Here is a 12,211-nt window from a genome sequence, read left to right on the forward strand (position 1 = left end):
AACACAGCGAGGAGGAAAGTGGGGTCCTGCCCCCAGGGCCCACCCCGCACCCCCACTCACCCTTCCACAGAGCCCCTTCCTGCCTCAGAGTTGGGTCCCGCGGGGCCCCCAGTTCCACGCAGGAGGCCACTGAGACTGGAGAGGCCCAACGCCCCGTCCCCGCTCCCTGTCTGCCCTGCACGCCTCCCCCATGAGCCGCTGTCACCAGAGGGTCCCAGCCCTGCCTGCACATCAGAGCCCTCTGGTGGGAAGACCCAGGCTGCCCCAGACACCAGGCACGGTGGCTGCAGATGCAGTGACGCCAACATCTAGTTTCCTGTGAGCCTTCCTGCTAAAATGAGCTGTTAAATATAATTATAAAAAGTATGTATGCTCAAGGTAGAAAACCCAAAAAAGTTGAGAGAAAAGTCCTTCGTGTTATTACCATTCTGGTGGGGATCACTCCTGTGACATTCTGCTGTGTCCCCCTCCCATGTGGACCATTTTACCCCAATCCAGGCTGTTTATGGCACCTGGTCTAACCTGCTGCTGCTTTTCAAAACTTTATTTATTTATTTAGCAGAGAGACTGGGTCTCACTAGGTTGCCCAGGCTGGTCTTGAACTCCTGGCCTCAAGCGATCCTCCTGCCTCAGCCTCCCAAAGTGCTAGGATCACAGGCATGAGAGCTGTTCTTCTGCCCAGCTTTAGAACATAAATGTTTTTCCACATCTTAAAATTTTCTTCCTAAATATAATTTTAACAGCTACATAATGGAGCCACTCATAAACAATTTCTGTGACCGCTGTCCTGTTGTTTGCTGTTTTTCATAATTATAAATCTGCAGTGGACACCTTCTTACATCACTGTTATCTATATTTCACATTATTAATTTAGGATAATTCCCAGTAATGCAATTACGGGGTCAAGAGGCATCCGTGAGTTTGAGATTATTGATACATATTGCCAAATTGTGTTTCAGAAAAATTGTACCAGTTTATCTTCCCTGAGGATTGCTATGAGTGCCTGCCTCAGTATCCTACACCTTCACTAGCATTCAGCATTATTTTCTTTTTTTTTGAGACAGGGTCTTATTCTGTTGCCCAGGCTGGAGTGCAGTGGCAGGAACATAGCTCACTGCAGCCTCAATCTCCCACCTCCCTGGGCTCATGTGATCCTCTGACCTAAGCCTCCCAACTAGCTGGGACTACAGGTGCATCCCAGCACTGGCAAATGTTTGTTGTTGTTGTTTCTTTAAGACAGAGTCTCGCTCTGTCACCCAGGCTGGAGTGCAGTGGTGCGATCTCCGCTCGCTGCAACCTCCACCTCCCAGGTCCACGCCATTCTCCTGCCTTAGCCTCCCGAGTAGCTGGGACTACAGGCACCCGCCACCACGCCCGGCTAATTTTTTGTATTTTTGGTAGAGTTGGGGTTTCACTGTGTTAGCCATTTTGTATTTTTTTGTAGAGACAAGGTCTCACTATGTTTCCCAGGCTGCTCTCAAACTCCTAGGCTCAAGCAATCCTCCGGCCTAGGCCTCCCCCAGCGTTGGGTTTACACGTGTGAGCCACCACGCCCAGCCTAGCATTCTCCTTTTTAAGAGGAGTGCCATCTGGATGTTTGGTCTTTCATTTCACATGCTTAGTAGTCATTTGTATTTCTAGAAGAAATATTGGGCCGGGCTCAGTGGCTCACGCCTGTAATCCCAGCACTTTGGGAGTCTGAGGCGGGCGGATCACGAGGTCGGGAGATCAAGACCATCCTGGCTAACACGGTGAAACCCCGTCTCTACTAAAAATACAAAAAAAAAAAATAGCCAGGGCGTGGTGGCGGGCACCTGTAGTCCCAGCTACTCGGGAGGCTGAGGCAGGAGAATGGCATGAACCCAGGAAGTGGGGCTTGCAGTGAGCTGAGATCATGCCACTGGACTCCATCCTGGGCAACAGAGCAAGACTCTGTCTCAAAAATAGAATAAAAATCAAAATAAATAAATAAATGAAAGTTAGCCAGGTGTGGTGGTGCACGCCTGTAATCCCAGCTATTCTGGAGGGTGAGGCAAGAGGATCACCTGAGCCCGGGAGGCAGAGGTTGCAGTGAGCCAAGATCGTGCCACTGCACTCCAGCCCGAGCAACAGAGCAAAACGCTGTCTAAAATAATAAATAAATTTTAAAAAGCGAATATAAAGCCAAAAGTGCTTTCCCCTCAGATTTTCTGACAATTTAGACACACATTGCCTGGTCACCTTTTGCTTAAGTATAAACTCAAAAAGGACAAGAAATGTATACGTCATGAGCCAGTCAAGTGAGGACCTGTATCTTTATCTTAATAGGAGACTAAGACTTGAACAAGCGAATGAGGTCTCCAGGATCACTCTGGGTAAGAGGTGGAGCTGGGATTTGAACCCAGGTCTATGGGTGACAGGGCCCAGGCTCAGATATTTCATATTAGGGCCAGCCGGGGGTAGCTGGGGGACAACTGCAACCCAGGGTGTCCCCAGAGTAGATGACTCACCTGTGAGCATCAGTGATCACACTTTCTTACCAGCAAGTAACCATGAACAGTGGTGTCGGGCCTTGACTTGGGACCCAGATATGCTGGAAACTCCCACCATAGGATTCAGGAACATTCCAAGCAAAGTTTGCTTCGAGCCCCAGAATAGAAGGTCCTAGCCAAAAAAGGATAATTACTCAGTGACACGAGAACTGAAACTTTAGGGAGTTAAAGCCAGGGTGTATTTTTCATGACTATTTTGGGTCCTTCAGTCCGTTCTGTGTTCTTTTGGGCAGAAGAATGTCTGTACTCTGAGGGGAATTCTTTTATCACATCCTCACTGACGGAGCTCACAACATTTATTGAAAGTTTCAGCTGTCACTTCTGTATAAATAAACAGGATGAAGTGGGCAGCCGACTGCACATTAGAGATATTTTTAGACGTGGGTGGCACTGCAATCCAGAAGGCTGACATATCAAGGAGAGAGTGCCTGATCCCAGAATAGCCCACCCACACACGGCCCTATCTGCCTCAGCGTGGCCTCGGCGTGGGTTCTGTGGTGGCGTGGCTTCCTGCATCCGCTCCTTCCTGTTCTGTTTGGCCAGTGCAGAGATGGCAATAGCTCCTCCTAAAAATGCCACAGCTCCGCTCCTCAGAGGACAGGGGTCAGTGTTCAGGATCATGTGTCACTGGATCTGCAGAACACCAAAAACTAAACTGCCTGCGGGTTTGGTGGGTCTGAGATATGGGAGAGGATCATCATTCAAAGCAGGCTTCATTGGTCAGATGCAGTGGCTCACGCCTGTAATCCCAGCACTTTGGGAAGCCAAGGAGGGTAGATCACCTGAGGTCAGGAGTTCGAGACCAGCCTGGCCAACATAGTGAAACCCCATCTCTACTAAAAATACAAAAATTAGCCAGGCATGGTGGACCATGTCTGTAGTCCCAGCTACTTAGGAGGCTGAGGCAGGAGAATCGCTTGAACCTGGGAAGCGGAGGTTGCAGTGAGCTGAGATTGTACCACTGCACTCCAGCCTGGGCAACAGAGCAAGACTCTGTCTCAAAAAAAAAAAAAAAAAAAAGGCAGCATTCTCACTGTTTAGCCCTGTAGTTGAGAAGGCTGGACTTGGTTTTCAGCAACAATAACACGTCTAACATTTACCATGGACCGGCCACATAACGTGCACTCATTCGTTTTTCCCCCACGATGAGACTCAAACCGTCACGACTTCATGTGGCTTTTTCCACTTCTGTTTTCTTCTTGAAACATGAGTCCTTGTTCACCTGGAGAGACCACACACCCCAATGCCTACAGGCACGGCACACTCTCTGCTGCCTCTCCCTCCTCATGCCTCATCTACTAGGCCTCTTGGATGGGCTAAGGGAGGCCCTGCACACTCAGGGCAGTGACCTAGAGGGCAGCCAGGAAGGAAAAACAGTGACCGTACGATAGGGGCGGGGGTAGAGGGGTGCTGGGATGCCGGAGAGGCCCCTACTTTTTCTGTATAGCCTCTTAAAGCCCCCAGGGGTCTCCTCACATTTAATTTATGGCCTCTGATCCATTTACTCACTTTCTAGATTAAATATAAGGAAAAGTACCCTTCTATTGTCTTCATTTTCACTGTTTTTGGAGCCCTTCATCTATTTATGTGGATCTCAAACTCTTTCTTATCACTGAAGAACTTTCTTTGACATTTCTTGTAGCACAGGTCTGCTGGCAATGAATTCTCTCAGCTGCTTTTTTCTCAAAAGGTTCTTATATCAACCTCTTTTTTTTTTTTTTTTTTTTTTTTAAAGACAGTCTTGCTCTGTCACCCAGGCTGGAGTGCAATGGCGTGATCTCAACTCACTGCAACCTCCGCCTCCCAGGTTCAAGTAATTCTCCTGCCTCAGCCTCCCGAGTAGCTGGGATTACAGGCATCTGCCACCATGCCCAGCTAATTTTTGTATTTTTAGTAGAGATGAGGTTTCACCATGTTAGCCAGGCTGGTCTCGAACTCCTGACCTCAAGTGATCCGCCTGCCTTGGCCTCCCAAAGTGCTGGAATCACAGGTGTGAGCCAATGTGCCCAGCCTCAACCTCATTTTCAAAAGGTATTTTTTTCTAGGTATAGAATTCCAGGCTGACAAATGTGTTTCCCCTCCCCGCAACCTCTAATACTTTCAAGATGTTGCCCATTGTCTTCCCACATGACAAGCCTCTGATAAGAAATTAAGAAATCTGCTGTAACTCACTGTTCTTCTGTATGTCTTTTTTCCTCTGACCTCAAGATTTTTTCCTTTTTCTTTGGTGCTCAGCAGTTGGAGTTTGATGTGTCTATTTGGTTGTTTGCTGTTGTAGCTGCTTTGTTTTCTGTCCTGCTTGAGGTTCTCCAAGCTTCTTGGATCTGCGATTTTATGTCTTTCATTATTTTTTTAAAAGCCTGAGCCATTATCTCTTCAAATATTTCTTCTGCTCCATTCCCTCTCCTCTTTCTGGGACTCTCACATTATGAGTTGAGGTTGATGTCATTTATAGGATTGTCATGTTACACAGTTCTTGGATGCTCTGGTTTTCCCTCACTTTTTTTTCTCTTTGTGTTCCAGTTTGGTTAATTTCTACTGACATCTTCAATTTCTCTCTTTCCTCAGTTTTCGTGTCTGCTGATGGGCCCATTGAAGGAATTCTCTCTGATGCCATATCTTTTTATTTCTAGCAACTGTCTTTGACTTTGAGTTTTCACTTCTCTGCTTAAATTCTCCATCTGTTCATGCATATTGTCTGCCATTTCCACTAGACCCGTTGTCATACTAGCCATTCTAACATAACTGTCTGATAGTTACAACATCTAGGTCGTCTCTGAGTCTAACTCCATTCATTGTTTTGCCTCTTGACAATGGGTTGGTTGTTTTTTGTTGCTTCTGAACAAAAAATATATAATTTTTATTGAATACTGAACATTCATGTATAGAACAGAGGTGACTACGGTCAATAGTATTTACATATGGAAATGGGTAATCCTCTTCTGTCAGACCGTTAGTGTGGGATTTGAGTCAATCTTGTTAGGAATTGAGCTGGGTTTGGGATTTGTCATTGTTATGGTTATCTTCAATGTACCATAGGCCTCAAGTACCTCTAGCAATGAGCTGTCATTGCCTTGTGCCCAGGGTTGGGACTAGGGCACTGGAGGAGATTCCTCAGTGTGGTGCCCCACCCTCTGCTTTCAGCTTTCTCTTGCCTGCCTGTGCTGCAGCATGGATCTTACCCCACTTTCTCTCGGCAGTAGACAGCTGCTGCTTGTTATTCTACCAAGGTTATGTTCAAGGCTTGGGGTGGGTTCTCTGTGTACTGGTCCAGCCTCAGTTTAGACAGGCCCTTCCCTGTGCCCTTCACCCCAGCATTCCTACCCCTCTTCCCTGTGGCAAACTCTGTCGGGGTCTTGGGTGTGACTGTCCTGTCCCTTCCCCAGTGAGAAGAGACCTCTGGTGGTGGTGGTGGTGGTGGTGGTGGTGTTTTTGAGACAGAGTCTTGCTCTGTCACCCAGGCTAGAGTGCAGTGGCATGATCTCGGCATGATCTCGGCTCACTGCAACCTCCACCTCCTGGGTTCAAGCGATTCTCTTGCCTCAGACTCCCTCGTAGCTGGGATTACAGGTGCCCGCCACTGTGCCTGGCTAATTTTTGTATTTTTAGTAGAGATAGGGTTTCACCATCTTGGCCAGGCTGGTCTTGAACTCCTGACCTTGTGATCCACCCGCCTCAGCCTCCCAAAGTGCTGGGATTACAGGTGTTAAGCCACCACACCCAGCCAAGGCCTCTGTTTTCTATGGTGCAGGATCGTAGGCCAGGATGGTTTCCTGGTGCCCTTCCAAGGAAAAAGAGTTCCTTCCTATCCTTCCCCTAGCCATGGTGTGTCTTTGTCTGTGCCCTGGGGGTGACAGGCTGTGCTGTTCCTCCCTCAGCAGCCTAAGGCATCTGCTTCCCAGGAGAGAAGAGTCTGGGATGGTGGAAAGGCCTTTGAGCCTGTTCCTACCCTGGCTGCAGCCCTGGTGGCACAACTTCCACAGCAAGCCTGGCATCACACTGGCATCATGGATACGGGGGTGAAGGGGACTCAGCACCTGCCCTAGAGGCACTCAGGCTGCCCCCATGGGGCAAGGGCTCATTCAAGGCTCTCTGGCTTACGGATGCCCACTGTGGCCTCAACCCCCAGTGAGTGCAACTTGGACCCAGACAAGGAAGTGTCCAAGCTGTGGCCAGATCTGGCCACCGAGGGCGAGGGACAGTGGTGAGGTGTGAGACCCGTGCAGTCACACCCTGGCCCTCTCACCTGGCAGCCCTCCAGCCTTCCCAAACCTCCATTTCCCTGTCTACAAAACAATGGGTAACAGCGGTCCCCGAGCATGAGCGAGCTCACACACAGGCCTTGCCGAGCCTGTGCCTGTCATGCAGGGGTACCCAGTGGACCTTCATGATTGCAGCAGTTATCATGGAATGGTGACAACAGTGAATGCCACCAAGACCCCTTCAGGCCATCAGTCCCCAAGAACAGGCTCTGAGCCCCATGAAACGCCAGAGGGGCCTTTCTTCCTGAGTCTCAGGGCTGTTCTGTGAAGCAGGAGGTCACAGGGGGTTGGAGGGAATGCAGGGCTGGAGGCAGAAGGAGCCGGCGTGGTCTGGGCTCTACCCACGGCCAGTGATGTCTCAGAGCCTCAGTTTCCTCTGCTGCAAGAGGCACTTGACACCCACGTCCTGGGTTGGAAGATGACACAGAAAAGCACCGATGGCTGGGTCCACTTGGGTTTTGTCCACTTCATTTCAAAGGGCATCCTGTGGCCTACAAACCCACATCTATGGAGAAAGTTGTTCAGAAACAGATGGCGTTTGCTCTCCCCAGAGAGCCCTGGGGAGCAGAGTCCTGAGAGCACCTAAGGGGCAGGGTGGGAATGAGCTCACCCGCTGTGGCTTCGAGGGTTAAAATTCCTGGAGCAGAGGGGACTCCGCGATGGCTTCTCTCCAAGCCAAGCCCAAGGAACACCCCAATGGCACACCCTCTGCCCGTGCCGCCCAGGCCCCTGGCTCGGCACGGCCACCTCCACTCCCTTCCTTCTAGCCTGGTGGCAGCCATACCTGTGGGTAAAGGCACCTGCAGCCGTGGCAGGATAGGGTCAGAGGCCCTGTGGTGAAGTCCATATGGGGTCACACGTACCCGGTCACACACACAGAATAACACAGTCACACGTGCACACACAGGTTCACACACACAGAATAACACAGTTACACCCACACACAGGGACACACACAGAATAACAGTTACACCCACACACAGGGACACACACAGAATAACACAGTCACACACCCACAGACAATAACAAGTTACGCTCACACACAGGGACACACATACAGAGAATAACACAGTCACACACACACACAATCACACACAGAGAATAACACAGTCACACACACACACAGAGTAACACAGTGTTGCACAGTCACACATAGAATGTCACACACTCAGAGAATAACAGTCACACACAGAGAATAACAGTCACACCCACACACAGTCACACACAGAATAACACAATTACATATACATAGTCACACACACAGTAACACACAGAATAACAGTCACACACACAGAATAACAGTTACACAGTCACACAGAATAACACAGTCACACAGTCACACACAGAATAACAGTCACACAGAATAACACAGCTATACACACACAGTCACACACAGGGAATAACAGCCACTCACAGATAACAGTTACACAGTCACATAGTCACACACAGAGAATAACAGTAACACACAGTCACACAGAAAATAGTCACACACACAGTCACACACAAAATAACAGTCACACAATGTCACACACAGTCACAAAGAGAATAATAGTCACACAGTCACATGCAGAATAACACAGTTACAGCCACACACAGAGAATAACAGTCACACACAGTCACACACACAGAATAACACAGTCATCCACACAGAGTCACACACAGAATAACAGTCACACACACAGAGTCACACACAGTGAATAATAGTCACATACACAGTCACACAGAAAATAGTCACACACACGGTCACACAGAGAATAACACTGTCACACATTGAATAACAGTCACACACAGTCGCACACAGAATAACAGTTACACATAGTCACACACAGTCACACACAAAGAATAACAGTTACAGTCACATACAGAATAACAGTCACACACAGACGCGACACCAGCCTGCGACCTTGCCCAGGGTGGCAGAAGGAGCTGGTGGCAGAGGAGCTGGTGGCAGAGGTTCGGGCCTTATTTGGCCACCCAGCCTGGCTTGTCCTCCTGGTGCAGACAGAGCTGCGAGGGGCCCCACGGCCACGCCAGGGCTTCCTGCACCACGGGCCGCCATGCAGGTCGCCTTGGAGTCCCCTTGGAGCCATCGGGCCCCTGCCCTCCTGGATCCAGGGCCACTGCCTCGGCGTCGGGGCTTCTCCGAGCCAAGCTTCAGGGCTGCATGAGGGGCCACGGTGCAGCAGCCCGGGCTGGGGTCCCGCGTTGGATCCCCCGCCTGCCCAGGGTCTTACCACCTCCTCTTCCATCCGCAGGAGCTACAGGGAGCTGGCCGACTGCACCTGGCACATGGCGGAGAAGCTGGGCTGCTTCTGGCCCAATGCAGAGGTGGACAGGTTCTTCCTGGCAGTGCATGGCCGCTACTTCAGGAGCTGCCCCATCTCAGGCAGGGCCGTGCGGGACCCGCCCGGCAGCATCCTCTACCCCTTCATCGTGGTCCCCATCACGGTGACCCTGCTGGTGACGGCACTGGTGGTCTGGCAGAGCAAGCGCACTGAGGGCATTGTGTAGGCGGGGCCCAGGCTGCCCGCGGGTGCACCCAGGCTGCAGGGTGAGGCCAGGCAGGCCTGGGTAGGGGCAGCTTCTGGAGCCTTGGGACAGAGCAGGCCCACAATGCCCCCCTTCTTCCAGCCAAGAAGAGCTCACAGGAGTCCAGAGTAGCCGAGGCTCTGGTATTAACCTGGAAGCCCCCCTGGCTGGAGGCCACCGCCACCCTAGGAAGGGGGCAGGGACGTGACCTTGACTTACCTCTGGAAAGGGTCCCAGCCTAGACTGCTTACCCCATAGCCACATTTGTGGATGAGTGGTTTGTGATTAAAAGGGATGTTCTTGAACTTGGAAAGACTCATTATCTCTGGGTACCCATCACTGGGAGAAGGGTGGAAACCCAGGCCCTGCGGACTCTCTTTCCTCTAACAGGAGGAATCAGGGGCCTTTGCTCGGGGGTGGCATTGGAGCCAGTGCTGAGTGCACTGAGGTGCTCCTGGGGATTCTGGGGCCCTTGCTGCCCCCCGGCGACACAGTCCAGACCAGGGCTGGACACACTGAGCTCACAGACCAGGAAGGGCTGGGACCCTCCCCACAGATACCTGGGGCCTTGGGTGCAGGCTCTCTTCTTGTCTGTCCCCGAGGCATCACCGGGCTTGGCCCTCTGCCCGTCACCTCCCTGCTCTCCATCCATGCTTCTGCCCACGCCCCTACCTGCAGCTTCCAGAAGCCTCTGGCTCCCCAAAGGAGCCCCTCCACGGTCCCTCCGGGGTGTCCCCTGAGTTCAGACCCCTCCTCTCGGGTCCCTGCAGCCCCCAGGACCTGTCCCTTCTCCAGTGACTGAGAAGAGTGTCCACTCCCCCATCACCTTCAGCTTGTCCTCTCCCTCTGCCCCACAGGACAGCCCCATCCAAACACGGCAGCCGGTGCCGTGGCCTTGTAGGTTCAGCTGTAGCCCACCACAGCCACGTGGGGCCACCCACCGCCCAGGCTGGGCTGAGCCCACCAGACCCCAGGCAGCCCATCACAGCAGCCTCCCCCAACAGAGCCCCTGAGCCTCCTCCTGGGTGTTGCGGTCCCCACCCCACGCCCACAAGGTGCACCCATCACGGGCAGTCCCCACCTCCCCACCCAGCCAGTCCCAAGAGGCATCCCCAGCCTAAGAGACCAGAAGGAGCCCCGAGTGGCTTCTCGGCTTCTCCAGCGGAACCGTGGCTGTGGTGTGGGCCCGTTTTCCCAAGAGGAGCAGGCGTGGCTGCACCTTACACTGGGTCAGGAGAGGAGCCCAGGGTCTACTGACAGTGGGCGGTGGCCTCAGGGACTGATCCTAGTCTCTGTCTTGTTGGGAACCGCCGGGACTCCACTGTCCGTGACCCAGTCTCAGCCTTGGGCCCTCAGTGAGGGTCTGGTCAGTCTGCTACGCCAGGCCCCAGCTTCCTCCGCTTCTAGGATGTCACCACCTGTGAGTGGAGAAGCCGAGGGTGCTCTGGGGCCAGTGGCTTTGGGCCATAAGGAAATAATAAGAATGACAACAGCAGTAGCGTTTGCGTGAGCCGGGCACTGCGCTGTGAACTTGTGCTCATAAAACTCCCAGAGAAGCCCCTTGAGGGAGAGCCTGTCGTTGTGCCCATTTCACAGAGGAGGAAAAGAGAGTTCAAGTCACTTGCCCGAGTTACTTCAATAATGTGTCCAAGAAGATTCCTTGAGAGACTCCAATACACAGGACAGATGAAGGCGAAGAGGGGCCAGGATGCTGCCTCCCCCTTCTCTCCTCTGTTCCCCCCTCAGCTCCTCCCCGACCTGCCCCCTGGGCCACACTGGGGTCCAGGCCTCACCCCTGTGTTCACAAGCTGGCCTTTCCTGAGAGGCCCCAGTGAGGGCGAGGAGACGGGAGGTGGGAGCTTCTCACACGATTTCGACCTGCGATACCGACGGCATCTCTCAGACAACCTGCAGCCGGGCCAACCTGGGTTGGGGGGCTGTGCTGGGACCTAAGTCAGGGACCACCGGAGGAGGTAGCCCTTGAGCCGCCCTGGAGCCCGGGCCATGGCTGGGTCGGCCGGCTAGGCAGGCGTGGGAGCTTGGGATGGAGTCCTCCTGCAGGGGACTGGGGAAAAGAGGGATTCACTGAAAATTACCACCAAAACAGCGCCCACGGGGATGGCCCACAGGTCCACTCCGGGAACATTATCAGTGAGGCCAGGCTGGGGCTGTCCTCTTACCAGTAAGCATTTGTCACCTTAGTTGACAATGCTTTTTAAGACACTGTCTAGTCCACACCACTCACTCCGCCATCTCCACTTCCAGAAATCTCACCCCTCCCTGGGATCCAGGGACCCCTGAGCCCTCAGCCAGCTCTTCCTCCATCTGCCTCCTTTCCTAAGGGCCCAGTTGTAACCCACCTGCACTCATGACACAAAGTGGTTATGAGAGCTGGAAGAAAATGGGACAATTGTCTCGGCTCATCCCCCACTTCTCCCCTAGAAAGCCAGGGAGTCCTGAGGACCCTAGTGGCTAGCCCACGGTCACACCACCAGTGGCAGAGCCCCAGGCCCTGGCTTCAGCAGCCCCGCGGCCCCCGGGCCCCCAGGTGGGGATGCAGAGCCCACTGCTGCACATGCAGAATCCTCCCAGAATCCGTTTTAGGGCTGTAGCATCTTCAAGGACAAGGCCCTGCCATGTGCTCTGCCAGCCGTGTGTGTGTGTGTGTGTGTGTGTGTGCGCGCGCGTGTGTGCGTGTGTGTGCGCATGCATGTGGGTGCATGTGTGTGCATGCGTGCGTGCGCATGCGTGCGTGTGTGTGCACGTATGTGTGTGCATGTGTGTGCGTGTGTGTGTGTACAAACAGTAACCTTCAAGTGCAGCTATCCCTTCCAATGTTCTATTGCTTTATTCAGTGGTCACGACGTGGGTTTTTCACTGGTTCCAGGC

General features: G+C 52.6%; 1 protein-coding gene across 5 annotated transcripts in view; it reads left to right on the plus strand.

Moving 5' to 3' along the window:
- The window catches only part of RAMP1 (receptor activity modifying protein 1), a 53,227-nt gene extending 43,600 nt beyond the window's left edge, over positions 1–9,627 (plus strand). For all 5 annotated transcript variants that reach the window (XM_017003153.3, NM_001308353.2, NM_005855.4 and 2 more), the window contains one exon: positions 9,049–9,627. In XM_017003153.3, coding sequence (XP_016858642.1) covers positions 9,049–9,304 — 256 coding nt within the window. In that variant the 3' untranslated portion in view covers positions 9,305–9,627. The remainder of the gene's footprint in view (positions 1–9,048) is intronic.
- The last annotated feature ends 2,584 nt before the right edge of the window (positions 9,628–12,211 follow it).

The sequence above is a fragment of the Homo sapiens genome, chromosome 2 (assembly GCF_000001405.40).
Source record: "Homo sapiens chromosome 2, GRCh38.p14 Primary Assembly".
In the NCBI taxonomy this organism is placed as follows: Eukaryota; Metazoa; Chordata; class Mammalia; order Primates; family Hominidae; genus Homo; species Homo sapiens.